Source organism: Homo sapiens, chromosome 2 (assembly GCF_000001405.40).
Source record: "Homo sapiens chromosome 2, GRCh38.p14 Primary Assembly".
In the NCBI taxonomy this organism is placed as follows: domain Eukaryota; kingdom Metazoa; phylum Chordata; class Mammalia; order Primates; family Hominidae; genus Homo; species Homo sapiens.
In genome coordinates this window covers 70,222,825-70,237,100 of record NC_000002.12, presented here as the reverse complement: position 1 = coordinate 70,237,100, position 14,276 = coordinate 70,222,825, and the positions used below count along the sequence as shown (strand labels likewise).

The following is a 14,276-nucleotide window of genomic DNA, read 5'->3' as shown; positions in this document are numbered from 1 at the left end:
ACTTTACATCTGTTTTCAAAGAGATTTTGAAGTGTTGGCAAACTTTTAAAAGTTACTCCCAAATATTATAGTTTAAGGCAAAGATCTGCCTATTTCTCAAGTTTAATTTTTAATGAACAACTTTAGAAACCGATGGAGAATAAGCAAATTAAAAATGGTAAATCAAGGGCTGGGCACAATGCCTCATGCCTGTAATCTTTAAGATTACACTTTGGGAGGCCAAGGCAGGCAGATCGCTTGAACCCAGGAGTTTGAGACCAGCTCAGCAACATGGTGAAACGCCTTCTCTACAGAAACTGTAAAAAAATTAGCCAGATATGATGGCACACGCCTGTGGTCCCAGCTACTTGGGAGGCTGAAGTGGGAGAATCCCTTGTGCCCAGGAGGTGGAGATTGTAGTGAGCCAAGATTGCGCCACTACACTCTAGTCTGGGCAACCCAGAAGACCTTGTCTGAAAAAAAAATAAATTGAGGTAAATTGAGCTGGGTGTGGTGGTTCCTCTAGTCCGTTACTCAGGGGACCAAGGCAGTAGGTTTGCTTGAGGCCAGGAGTTTGAGAGCAGCCTGAGCAATATAGCCAGACTATTTCTCTTAAAAAAAAAAACCGGGTGCAGTGGCTCACACCTGTAATTTCAGCACTTTGGGAGGCTGAAGCAGGCGGGTCACCTGAGGTCAGGAGTTGGAGACCAGCCTGACCAACATGGAGAAACCCCGTCTCTACTAAAAATACAAAATTAGCTGGGTGTGGTCACGCATGCCTGTAATCCCAGCTACTCGGGGAGGCTGAGGCAGGGGAATCACTTGAACCCTGGAGGCGGAGGTTGTGGTGAGCCGAGATCGTGCCATTGCACTCTATCCTGGGCAACAAGAGTGAAACTCTGTCTCAAAAAAAAAAAAAGGTAAATTGTTTCTCTTTGTGTTTCAGATACGTCGGTAACCTTTCCAGAGATGTGACAGAAGCTCTAATTCTGCAACTCTTTAGCCAGATTGGACCTTGTAAAAACTGCAAAATGATTATGGATGTAAGGGTATTTTACTTAGTTAACTTTATTCTTTTTTTTTTTACACATTACTTAAAGCCATTGCTTGGAAGGAATTCTTAGTTTACCATGGTCTAAATATAGTATAAATTATTAGTTTACTGTAGTCTAAATATAGTCTTAGTTTACCATATTCTAAGTTAATAGGGATTTTAGTGAATTTGTAATGAACCTGTTTTGACAGCTGAATTTAATTTGTTTTATTACATGATGGAAGATGACAATAGAACTAGTTATTTCTAGATCAGATGGGAACATATATATGGGCTCTTTCAGGTGCATTGAGGCATCAGAAATGTTTATATGTGGTGTCAACTGGTTGGCTAATAAATTCAGCTCTTACAATTAAATTGGAAAACAGGTTTAAAAATAATAGGCATTTGGTACAGTGAAAGTATTTTTAACTTTATTTTTAAAGGTCATCATTCAAGTTTTTCTTGTATTTAGGCAATTCCTATTTATGAGACAATGTATTAAACACACACACATACACACACACACACACACACACACACACACTCATTCATCTAATTGGTGTTAACCCTGAATCATAATAGGTATAAAAAGACATTTAGGGAACATTTACCCCATTTCCCTGGAGTCTTTGTCTCCTGGTTGGGGGGAAAAGACTTTAAATTTTTTTTTGAGACGGAGTTTTGCTCTTGTTGCCCAGGCTGGAATACAATGGTGCGATCTCGGCTCGCTGCAACCTCCGCCTCCCGGGTTCAAGCAATTCTTCTGGCTCAGCCTCCCAAGTAGCTGGGATTACAGGCATGCGCCACTACACCTGGCTAATTTTGTATTCTTAGTAGAGATGGGGTTTCTCCATGTTGGTCAGGCTGGTTTAGAACTCCCGACCTCAGGTGATCCACCTGTCTTGGCCTCCCAAAGTACTGGGATTACAGGTATGAGCCACTGTACCTGGCCTAAATTTTTTAATGGGAAAGGCTATGTTAAAGAGAAATCCTTTTGTCCCATGGTCTCTCTTTTCTGTAAACTTTTCGTTTGTTTGTTTGTTTGTTTGTTTGTCTTGAAAGACAGGGTCTTGGTATAGCCATTGCACCCAGCCTGCTATAAACTTTCAGTTTTCTTTTCTCCAGAAAAGACAATCATGTATGTGTGTATGTGTATCTGTTACCTTCTTTCCTGTTGTATTCCAGTTCAACTTTTTTTTACTTAATATTTTTAAAAGTAATTATTTAGCCGGGCACAGTGGCTCACACCTGTAATCCCAGCACTTTGGGAGGCCGAGGCAGGCAGATCATGAGGTCAGGAGTTCGAGACTAGCCTGACCAACATGGCGAAACCCCGTCTCTACTAAAAATACCAAAATTAGCCGGACATGGTGGCAAGCGCCTGTAATCCCAGCTACTCAGGAGGCTAAGGCAGTAGAATTGTTTGAACCCAGGAGGCGAAGGTTGCAGTGAGCCGAGATTGCACCATTGCACTCCAGCCTGGGCGACAGAGGGAGACTGTCTCAAAAATATATATTTATCCAATTGGCTTTGATTTGTTGTCTTAGATCTTAAAATGTTGTCAGACCTTTGTTCTGATGCTGCAAAATCATCTGCATATTATATAGATGAAATCAACAAAGAGTTATGTTCTTTTATTCTATCACATTTAATATCGGTATGCCTTTGGATAAAGGAGAAAAAATCCATGTACCCATAGAGAAAGACAGGAGGGAAAGATGGGGAAAGATGAAGAGAAATTTAAAACCAGTCTTTCCTTAATCTAGATCTCCTTACTTATCCCAATGGTAGCATTTATGGAAAATTTGCTGCCTGTCAGTTACTTTAATACATTGTCATAAATGCTCAATAGAAACATAAAGAAGGTGTTATTTTCATTTCATGTATGAGGAAATGAGGCAAAGCAAGGCTGTAAACCCTAATTGATTTATCCGAATATAAATCTTCTCTGTTGGTTTGCCTGCTGCTACTCTCTCTCTGGCTGGTCATATGTTTCCCTGGGGAAAGATCATTAGACAAAACGTTAATGATTGCCTTGGCTACAGAAAAAACCAGGTTAGCCTTTGCCACTTTTTATCATTTGTGGATTCTGATCGCTCAAAAGCTTAGATTTTTATTATTCAAATCTAAATTCCAGTCTGTTCACATTCTGAGACTAATGTTCACATTTATAAATTTTATGCTCCCTGGACTGATAATATGTATATATGCTTCGATTCTTATTTAAAAAGTTAGTTTTTTCTGCATATAAATTAAGTAAAGCATATTCTTTTTCATTTATTTACTCTTAAATGCAAGTGACTTTTTCTTTTTTTTTTTTTAGACAGAGTCTCACTCTGTTGCCCAGGCTGGAGTGCAATGGCATGATCTCAGCTCACTGCAAACTCTGCCTCCCAGGTTCAAGCTATTCTCCTGCCTCAGCCTCCTAAGTAGCTGGGATTACAGGCATGCGCCACCACACCTGGCTAGTTTTCGTATTTTCAGTAGAGACAGGGTTTCACCATGTTGGCCAGGTGGTCTTGATCTCCTGATGTCATGATCCGCCCACCCCAGCTTCCCAAAGTGCTGGGATTACAGGCGTGAGCCACCACAGCCAGCCGCAAGTGACTTTTTCTAACTTCATTTCAGTGTTGCCTGTCAGCATTGATCTTGGTAATAGAATTCCCATTGTGTTTTATTAGTTTGAGTTATATAACATTTTTATTCTCTAATTTTTTTAGACAAAATATAGTCCCAATATATTAAACTTTGTCTTGGCCTCGTTGCTTTAAAATTTTTACAAGTCATTGCCAGTGACTCTCAAACTATTAATTGTTGATGTGCACAGTGACTGATGCCTGTAATCCCAACACTTTGGGAGGCAGAGGCTGGAGGATCACTTGAGCCCAGGAATTTGAGACCAGCCTGGGCAACATAACAAGACCACATCTCTAAAAAAAAATTAATTAACTGTACTTGAAATAAAATTGTATATTCCTCTATTTTAGTAGCTTTCTAGTCTTTTGAATTAGTTTTTTATTTTAACAAATCTGTTTAGGAGGCTATGGAAAGAATTTTAAAATGGCCTATAATGTCATTTGATATTTTGCACTGTAGGTGTAAAAATTGGAATTTTTTTCTGCTACTTGAATTTATAATTAAACATCCAGGTTCTATTTATCACATAGCCTCACCTACCTGGAACACCAGCAGAAAAGGGAAGTTTTGTTTTTTTTTTTGAGACAGAGTCTCGCTGTGCGCCCAGACTGGAATCCAGTGGCACCATCTTGGCTCACTGCAACGTCCCCCTCCTGAGTTCAAGCGAATCTCCTGCCTCAGCCTCCCGAGTAGATGGGATTACAAGCACACGCCACCACACCCAGCTGATTTTTGTATTTTTAGTAGAGATGAGGTTTCACCATTTTGGCCAGGCTAGTCTCGAACTCCTGACCTCAGGTGATCCACCTGCCTCATCCTCCCAGAGTGCTGAGATTACAGGCATGAGCTACTGTGCCCGGCCAAGGGAAGATAATTTTTTTTTTTTTTTTTTTTTTTTTTTTTTTTTTGAGACAGAGTTTCACTCTTGTTGCCCAGGCTGGAGTGCAATGGCGCAATCTCGGCTCACCACAACCTTCGCCTCCAGGGTTCAAGCGATTCTCCTGCCTCAGCCTCCCGAGTAGCTGGGATTACAGGCATGCACCACCACGCCCGGCTAATTTTGTATTTTTAGTAGAGACAGGGTTTCACCATGTTGGTCAGGCTGGTCTCAAACTCCTGACCTCAGGTGATCAGCCCACCTTGGCCTCCCAAAGTGCTGGGATTACAGGTGTGAGCCATCATGCCTGGCTGGGAAGATAATTTTTTTTCTTTTTTCTTTTTTCTTTTTTTTTTTTTTTTTGAGACAGAGTCTCGCTCTGTCGCCCAGGCTGGAGTGCAGTGGTGCAATCTCGGCTCACTGCACACTGCAAGCTCCGTCTCCTGGGTTCACGCCATTCTCCTGCCTTAGCCTCCTGAGTAGCTGGGACTACAGGCGCCCGCCACCAGGCCCGGCTAATTTTTTGTATTTTTAGTAGAGACGGGGTTTCACCGTGCTAGCCAGGATGGTGTCGATCTCCTGACCTCATGATCCGCCTGCCTCGGCCTCTCGAAGTGCTGGGATTACAGGCATGAGCCACTGCGCCTGGCGGGAAGATAATTTTTTAAAGGCTTCTGAGCAAGCAAAAAATTGATGTCAGAAAGTTCACATTCTAAAACTTATTCTAAAATTTTACTTACCAGAGAATCTCTTCAGTTTTCAGAGCCTATTTACCTATATTTTAAAACAGGTTTAAGAAGGTTGGCTAAGATTTTCTGCTACTCAGCAAGCTAGTAGCAGCAAGGAGCAATGTACATTTGTAGCAGTAAAAAGTAACTTATAACAGGGAGGGGATAGAAAAATCATAAAAAGCCGAAGTGAGACTTCAGAACTTAGGAGTTCAGTCAAACTTAATCTGTGTAGCTTGAACAAATGGTTATATGATGATGGGGTATGTGTAGCTATATATCCAGTTAGGATACCTAGTCATTAATATTAAATTATAGTACTATAGTATAACCTGTTGAAGAAAATAGCTATGTATAAAAGCAGTGTGATTTTAAGTGTTTGCTTTTTTTTTTTTACTTTTTAATTATTTTAGAGACAGGATCTTGCTGTGTTGCCCAGGCTGGATTCAAACTCCTGGGCTCAAGCATTCCTCCCACCTCAGCCTCCTAAAGTAGCTGGGACTACAGGAGCTGGCTGTTTACTTTTTTGTTTGTTTGTTTTTGAGACGGAGTCTTGCTCTGTCGCCCAGGCTGGAGTGCAGTGGCGCAGTCTCAGCTTACTGCAACCTCCACCTCCCGGGTTCAAGCAATTCTCCTGCCTCAGCCTCCCGAGTAGGTGGGATTACAGGAGCCTGCCACCATGCCTGGTTAATTTTTGTATTTTTTTTTAATAGAGACAGGGTTTCACCACGTTGGCCAAGTTGGTCTCAAACTGCTGACCTCATGATCCACCTGCCTTGGCCTCCCAAAGTGCTGGGATTACAGGTGTGAGCCACCTCACCCAGCCTACTTTTTTAAATCTAAAATTTACTTGTGGAATAGACCATTCATTCTCCATGGCCTGATAACTTAGATGTATAAAACTTGGTTTAAGATTTTTTTTTTTACATAATTTTAAGGTAATGGGTGAATAAAGCTTAAAATTGGCTTTTGTGTTTCTTCTCCCACAGACAGCTGGAAATGATCCCTATTGTTTTGTGGAGTTTCATGAGCATCGTCATGCAGCTGCAGCATTAGCTGCTATGAATGGACGGAAGATAATGGGTAAGGTAAGCTGTCGTAATTAAAGAAGGTGACTTGCACTGAAAAAATTTAAGTTATATATGATTTTGTTTCCTTTTTAGAAACATTAAACACTTTTTTTTTTTTTTTGAGATGAAATTTTGCCCTTGTTGCCCAATCTGGAGTGCAATGGCACAGTCTTGGCTCACTGCAACCTCTGCCTCCTGGGTTCAAGTGATTCTCCTGCCTCAGCCTCCCTAGTAGCTGGGATTACAGGAACGCACCACCACACCCAGCTAATTTTTCGTATTTTTAGTAGAAATGAGGTTTCACCATGTTAGCCAGACTGGTCTCAAACTCCTGACCTCAGGTGATCTGCCTGCCTCGGCTTCGCAAAGTGTTGGGATTATAGATGTGAGCCACCGCGCCTGGCTGAAACATTAAACACTTTATAGCAAAAGGTCAGTTATTGACATATAATATTAAAAAGGTAGGATAAAGCTTTTAGAGGGCAGAGGCTTGTGTTTATGTTAGTATTTTCTTTTCTTTTTTTTTTTTTTTGAGTTGGGTCTTTCTCTGTTGCCCAGGCTGGAGTGCAGCGGCGCGATCTCAGCTCACTGCAAGCTCTGCCTTCCGGGTTCATGCCATTCTCCTGCCTCAGCCTCTGGAGTAGCTGGGACTACAGGCGCCCGCCACCACGCCTGACTAATTTTTTGTATTTTTAGTAGAAACAGGGTTTCACCGTGTTGGCCAGGATGGTCTCAGTCGCCTGACCTCATGATCCGATCTGCCCGTCTCGGCCTCCCAAAGTGCTGCGATTACAGGCGTGAGCCACCGTCCCCAGGTTTTTTTGTTTTTTTTTTTTGAGATGGAATCTTGCTTTGTCACCCAGGCTGGAGTGCAGTGGCACCATCTTGGCTCACTGCAACCTCTGCCTCATGGGTTCAAGCAATTCTTCTGCTTCAGCCTCCTGGGTAGCTGGGATGACAGGCACCCACCATCATGCCCAGCTAATTTTTGTATTTTTGTAGAGACAGGGTTTCACTCTGATGGCCAGGCTGGTCTTGAACTCCTGACCTCAGGTGATCCGCCTGTCTTGGCCTCCGAAAGTGCTGAGATTACAGACGTCAGCCAGCAGCCTATGTTAGTATTTTCCATGGTGGATTGTACATGGTAAATAACAAAATATTTGCTGAATTACTCAAGCTTGGATGCTAATGGAAAAGAATGAAAGGAAAAAAAATAATATGGGTACTTTAGGTAGGAAAGGTTAATTGAATGATAACAGACACATAAAGATTAGGATTTGTCAACATTATTTGCCTAAATGTAGGTCAGAAGATTAAGTGTTGAAACTTGACCAGAGCTGGTATCTCCTTCAGTGTTTCATCTTAAACAGATATCTTCCTATGTGTTTATAGATACAAATGTGATTTTGGGCTTTATTTTTGTGAAGTATAAATGTAGAAATTTTTTTTTTTTAGGAAGTCAAAGTGAATTGGGCAACAACCCCTAGCAGTCAAAAGAAAGATACAAGCAGTAAGTATATTTTATGCTCTTTGAACATTTGTTTTTATTGTACCCAGTAGTTTTATTGTAAAGCCTATAAACATCATACATGTTTGCAGTAATGTTTTGATCGTTATCCTAAGATATGATTGAATGTGTTTGTGTTAATAAATTTAAGAACAAATCTAATCTTTGTCATCAGGTAGTACCGTTGTCAGCACACAGCGTTCACAAGGTAATTGTATCTTCTTAAACATAAAATGAAATCTCTTGAAAGGGTATTCACTAACCACCTGAAGTTTTTTTGTTTGATATTTGGGGGAGGGGGGCGGGAGGAGATATTATTTCTATTTGTCTCTCTAGCAATACTTTTCTCCCTTCTCAGTGTTGACCAAGTATAACTTGTCCGCTACTTTGGTGCTAGTTCAAGCTTTCTGACCCGTTTGGTAGCAGCTGATGCCTTAGAACTACTTTCACCAACTAAGGGGCAAAATACCCTCCTTTCTTGAGGTCACCATTTGGGCTTCATACCCAGATCTTCCAAATGCTTGAGTTGCTCCTCAAATTTTGTTTCCCAAAGAGCAATCCAAAATGTTGTTTAAGGCCTGTCAAATATGGGTAACTTTTCTTTCCAAATATGCTTTGTCAAATTGATGTATGTGTCCATTTTAAAGTGTTGGTCCAACAATTTTGCATTTTTAAAGTGTTTCTTTTTTTGATAATTGTCTTTTTTAAAAACTTCAGATATGGGTTGGTTATTTCTCTCCAATGCTTTTTTAATGGTTCTGATATAAAGTGAAGGGATTACTGTTTTCATTCTGTTGCCTTCAGTCTTAGTTCACTTGCACATGGATTCACATAAACTGAATGGTGTAATGTCTGGGCAACCAAAACTGTTGGCTTTTGAGAAAACTGTCAAATACTTTAACATCAAACTGTTGCAATGCAAGGTATTTCTTTGATTGTTCTTCACAAAATATGGTTAAACCAAGTATATATCATGTAGCTAGCTTCAGTAAATTGTGTTAACTGAGGCAAATCTAGTCTACATAATTCACAGTACCACTATTTTATTTTAATTTGTAAAGCCTTAATATAGTGGTAAACTGAATAAAAGTAAATAATTATTATTAGAATGGTAACTAAGTCATTAAATTTTTTTGCAGAACTGAAACTTGTATGTTATTAGTTTATTTTCTTAGACCAGTGTAATAATTGACTGTAAATAGAAATATAAATGTCACTTTACAGTTAGATGTATCACAGTCGTTTCAGGAGAATTTTTCCTATATTGTTACCTTGATTCATTGTTTAAAATTGGTAGGATTTGTATAGATATAGGATAGTGTTTTATTTATACTTTATCATAAGCCATAATCATTTTAAGAATACTTTATTGGATAGATTTTAGTACTTTTTAAATTCTAAAGTTCTATTTTTCTTTTCACTTCCCCTTCCTTCCCCTTATAAGATCATTTCCATGTCTTTGTTGGTGATCTCAGCCCAGAAATTACAACTGAAGATATAAAAGCTGCTTTTGCACCATTTGGAAGAATATCGTAAGTAACAGAAGATAAATAAAATCCTTTTAATTAGAAACAATTATATGTAGACATAACTTGAAAATAATTCTGTTGTGAATTTTGTACATTAATTTTATAACTTGAATATAATGTATTACATTGTTTAGAGATCATTCAAGAAGTTAACAGCAAAAGATTGTTTTCCCATTGATGAATAAACCTTTGGTTTTCAATTATCTTAAAATCCTTTTTCAATTAGCATAGCTCTTAAGAGACAAATTTGCCATTGTACATGTTTTACTTTCTTATATAGGTATCAAGCTAGCTTGGTGACAATCTTTAGTAAAATTGTGCTGTAACTAAGGAATTTAGATCTGTTGGGTACTTCTATGATACCATGCATTTTGTGTTAATATATTTTAACAAAAAGAAACCTTAACAATTCAACTTAAAAAGCAGTTATTGAATATTATTTTCTAGATATTTACACCCTTTTAAAAAAACTGCTAACAATAATAGTGCCTTAATAATATTTTATGAAGCACTGCCTTGCTTGCACTTGTTATTAGTCATACATTTTAGGCCCTTATGAATAAATACCTTACTTGAGATAGCATTCATCATAGAAGAACTTTAAAATTTTGAAAAGCATGCCATATTAGAGTAAGAATAACAAGTTGTTTACAGTACTTTCTGTAGAGTAATTAGCTTAGAAAACTTCTTCAGGGTTTCTGCTTGCTCTGTTATTTTTCCACCTAGAAGAATAGTAAAAAGGAAGTGCTAGCTGTGGTTTGGTTTGAACAGACCAACAGCAGAGATGAGATGAGGAGACTGGAAAGTAAATGCCAGTAGTATTGGTGAATTTTAGGAGCTTTCGTTTGAAGAGTTATCGTTCCTTGATTAGGGGATGTGACCAAGGAATTACCAACTTTAAAGGTGGTCACAGAATTAGGGCTTATAAATGGACTTCTTTCAGATGACATTTTTCTTTGTGAGACCTGATCAGGAAAATAAGTACAGCTTTCATTTCTTGATTGTCCTTCTTAATAATATCTTAGAGTTTCAATAATAATTAGCTTGCTTTCGAATATCTGGACTTAGACAGTCTTAGCCTTTGGCCTCTCAAGGGCTCTAAATCTCTATGCACAATTTTGTGTTTTCATTTTGGTGTGGAAAATCTTTGTAAATTTTATCCTATTGTCAGAGTAGTCATAGAACCATAAAAGGATAAAGAAGCCTGATCTAGATCTTTGCTGCTGCTTCAGAGAATCTTTTCAGAGAGAAATAAATGAGTTGAATATTTTTCAAGACTAACATTTTCTGAAACTTTAAGAAGAAAAAATTTTCTAACATTGTGAACAGATTAAGTAGCTATTTTATTAAATGCTTTGATTTTAATTGAGGTAGTTTTTTTGAAAACACGGGAATTTTAGTTTGGAATTAGGCAAAGATTGTTTAACAGTTGGTGAGTTTAAGTTAAGTGACCTTCAGATTTTAGCAATTTCATGATTTACAAATCGTGGGTTATATTTTTTTCTCTTAAATATATTTCTGTGTCATATTTTTAGTCTGTAGATTTTCTTATGGTCCCATGATTATTGGTGTATACTTTTTTTTTCTTGGTAAGACCTTTAAGTTTTATGATTTTCAATTGAGATAATGTATAATGTTTGAGTTTTAGGCTATATAAGGAATTAGCTTTCCTGCATTTAAAGGAATCATTTGGCAGTCAGTAGCATATTTTCCTGATTTTTTGTTGTTGTTAAAGGAGATAAGTTGATAACTGTATGTTGAAGGGTTCTCATGATATTCTCTAAAAAGTGCAAATATCAGTGCTTGATTTATAGATGTGTAATAAACAGTGGTCTGTAAAAGCATGTAGTATAAAAAATATGGTATTTTCCCTTATATACAGCCTATAAACTCTTCCTATTCCTTGAGTTTAGGGTAGACTAACAAATTACAGCGTAGAAGAGAGTCAGCTACCAGATTAAATGCATGCGTACCATACAGATAATTTATTAAGTATTTTTGCATATTGAACATTGACTTACATTAATTTTCCCTTTTCACCACCACGTCTTTGTCATTTTGACCCTGAACACTTAATAAATCACTCAGATTGATCTAAAATATGCTTATGTATACTTTAATAGAAAATTACATTGCATGGCTTTCTGACTTGGGTTTTTGTTATAAAAGTGCCTGTTTTGTTCATGTGTCCTGAGAGAGCAAGCATTGTGACATACCTGACTAACTTAAAAGCAGATTGCCTGTGAAGCACAATTTGAGTCCAATTTTTTGAGGTATGGAGTTTTAGCTATCATGGCTGGGTTTTTACTCAATCTCAAATAATAGGGCTCTGGTTATTTTGCAGAGTGTCTCTGAAGAATGGACAGAATTGCCCTGGCTAACTACAAGCTACGGTTCACAGTGGATAAATGTTGGCGTGCTTTTTTACTTTCTGACTTTTTAAAATTTTGCTTTTATATCTTGTAGTTCCAATCAATTTTATATGAATGCTATTATAAAATTCAGTGTAAAATCTTTTCTTGTCTAGCTTAAAACTTGTGTGTGTCTAGTATTTTTCTTCAATGATTTAACATTTCTGAAAATGTCAAGTTCTCAAAATTTAGACAAAAAGGGGGGTATAAATTGATCTGAAAAAATTAAATAGTTTAATTAGTTTAGGGAATATACAACTTTTTCATTCTTTTGGTTTCCAGTTTTCTATTTTTTTTTAATGATTAGGTAGAATATAGTGTCAAATAAGTTATAAATTGCATGGTTAAAGAAAGCCATTCATCTAATGTCCTGTGAACTTTATAAGTGGTTAAGTAGTTCATGTGAGTAGCTGCTTTCACCATGCTTAATATTTAAAAGTTTAAAAAGTTTTTTGAAGAGAGAGGCAATTTCTGTACAATATAAATATACATATATACTTAAGTTATTGATTTGCATGTCTATAAAATTAAGCCTCATTTCCTAATACATGATAAATTTTGTAGAATAAAAGGTGAATTTGCATTAAAGGTTCACTTTAATGAAGGTGAAACATGAGAATGAGTTGTGTGTGAAATTCTTATTTGATATCCAGAGGATAGTTTGCAAACCTAAACTTCTGATTGTTTCTGATTTCAGAGATGCCCGAGTGGTAAAAGACATGGCAACAGGAAAGTCTAAGGGATATGGCTTTGTCTCCTTTTTCAACAAATGGGTGAGCTCAGTGAGAAGTGCATGGATAATGCTTAAAGAGTAAAGAATGGAAACACTCCGTTTTAATTACTAATCTTTTTTTCGTCTGCTGTTTATTTTACTGATGATTAAAATAAACCCTCACTAGAAGATTTCTTCTGTTTTGTCTGTTTAACATTTATTGGCACCTGAGGCATGCAGAGTACTGATAAGATGTTTTCAGAATGTAGAAAGTAAAGTTGTTTAAATTATCAGCCAAAGGTAGATGTTGAAAATCTCATTTATGGATTTAATTCATTATCTCCCTAGTTTATATTCCCATGGTAGTTTAAAAGTAGCTAATAAAATACTGTGAGGAGGCCGGACGCAGTGGCTCACACCTGTAATCCCAACACTTTGGGAGGCTGAGGCGGGTGGATCACCTGAGGTCAGGACTTTGAGAACAGCCAGGTCAACCTGGTGAAACCCTGTTTCTACTAAAAATACAAAAATTATCCGGGCGTGGTGGCAGGCGCCTGTAGTCCCAGCTACTCGGGAAGCTGAGGCAGGAGGATCACTTGAACCCAGGAGGCACAGGTTGCAGTGAGCCGAGATCATGCCACAGCACAGCCTGGGCGACAGAGTGAGACCCTGTCTCAAAAAATAAATAAATAAATAAAAATACTGTGATGGATAGGAACTTTTTAAAAAATTAAATATTACCCGGGCACAGTGGTTTATGCCTATAACCTCAGCACTTTGGGAGGCTGAGAAGTTTGAGATAAATACTGGCAATATAGTGGGACCCTATCTCTACAAAATATATATATTTTTTATTTTACTTTTTTTTTAATTTTTTTTTTTCCGGGAATTCCGAAAATTCAGCCGAGCCCAGTGGCTCACACCTGTAATCCCAGCACTTTGGGATGCCAAGGTGGGCGGATCACTTGAGGTCAGGAGTTCAAGACCAACCTGGACAACATGGCAAAACCCCATCTCTACAAAAAATTAGCCAGGCATGGCGACACATGCCTGTAGTCCCAGCTACTTGCAGGGCTGAGGCGGGAGGATCACTTAAATCCAGGAGGCCAAAGCTGCAGTGAGTCATGATCAAGCCACTGTACTCCAGCCTGGGTGACAAAGTGAGGCCCTGTCTCAAGAAAAAAAAAGTTGAAAATTGTAAAGTACATTGAGAGGTGAAAACAATACAAGCTCAATCATGTACATGTCCCATCTACCAAAGATTTTTTTTTTCCTGTAAGATGAGAAAATAAAAATTAAGAGAATTTATTTGGTTCTCAAAACTTTACTATTAAGCATAGCATAATGTTTTAGAAAGGTAGAAAAATACCTTCTATAATGGATTGATAGCCGTGATTAATTTGAGTTCCTTAGAGGATTGATTCATAGGTTTTAGGATGTTTTAGTGCAAGTTAGGGAAATAAATTGGCGGTTTGATGGGCTAGGAACTCATTTTTCACATTTTCGAGATTGTGGACTGTAGGGTTCTGCTATATAAAAATCACTGTTGAATGTGTATTTAGTATGAACTAGAGTCAAATAGCAAAGGATGTCTCTTGATAACCTGTGTATGGCCTCTGGAGTTAGCCAGAGATGTATACAAATTCTGACAACCATTATAAAACAGATGTAACTTTGAGTAAATAATATAATTTTTTTTTTGAGACGGAGTTTCGCTCTGTTGCCCAGGCTGGAGCGCAATGGCGCAATTTCGGCTCACTGCAACCTCCATCTCCTGGGTTCAAGCAATT

The 14,276-nt window shown here is 37.9% G+C and overlaps 1 protein-coding gene across 48 annotated transcripts in view; it reads left to right on the top strand.

Moving 5' to 3' along the window:
• The window catches only part of TIA1 (TIA1 cytotoxic granule associated RNA binding protein), a 39,350-nt gene that overhangs the window by 11,693 nt on the left and 13,381 nt on the right, over positions 1-14,276 (top strand). For 10 of the 48 annotated variants that reach the window (NR_147218.1, NR_147217.1, NR_147219.2 and 7 more), the window contains exons 2-7: positions 926-1,022; positions 6,247-6,345; positions 7,783-7,837; positions 8,010-8,042; positions 9,279-9,366; positions 12,472-12,547. Coding sequence is in view for 31 of the 48 variants with exons in the window: in NM_001351508.2 (NP_001338437.1) it covers positions 926-1,022; positions 6,247-6,345; positions 7,783-7,837; positions 8,010-8,042; positions 9,279-9,366; positions 12,472-12,547 (448 nt within the window). In the remaining 17 variants the exon portion in view is untranslated. Of the gene's footprint in view, positions 1-925; positions 1,029-6,240; positions 6,346-7,782; positions 7,838-7,899; positions 12,678-14,276 lie in introns of those variants that run through there. The other 38 variants (NR_147229.2, NR_147224.2, NR_147226.2 and 35 more) reach the window with 27 other exon arrangements.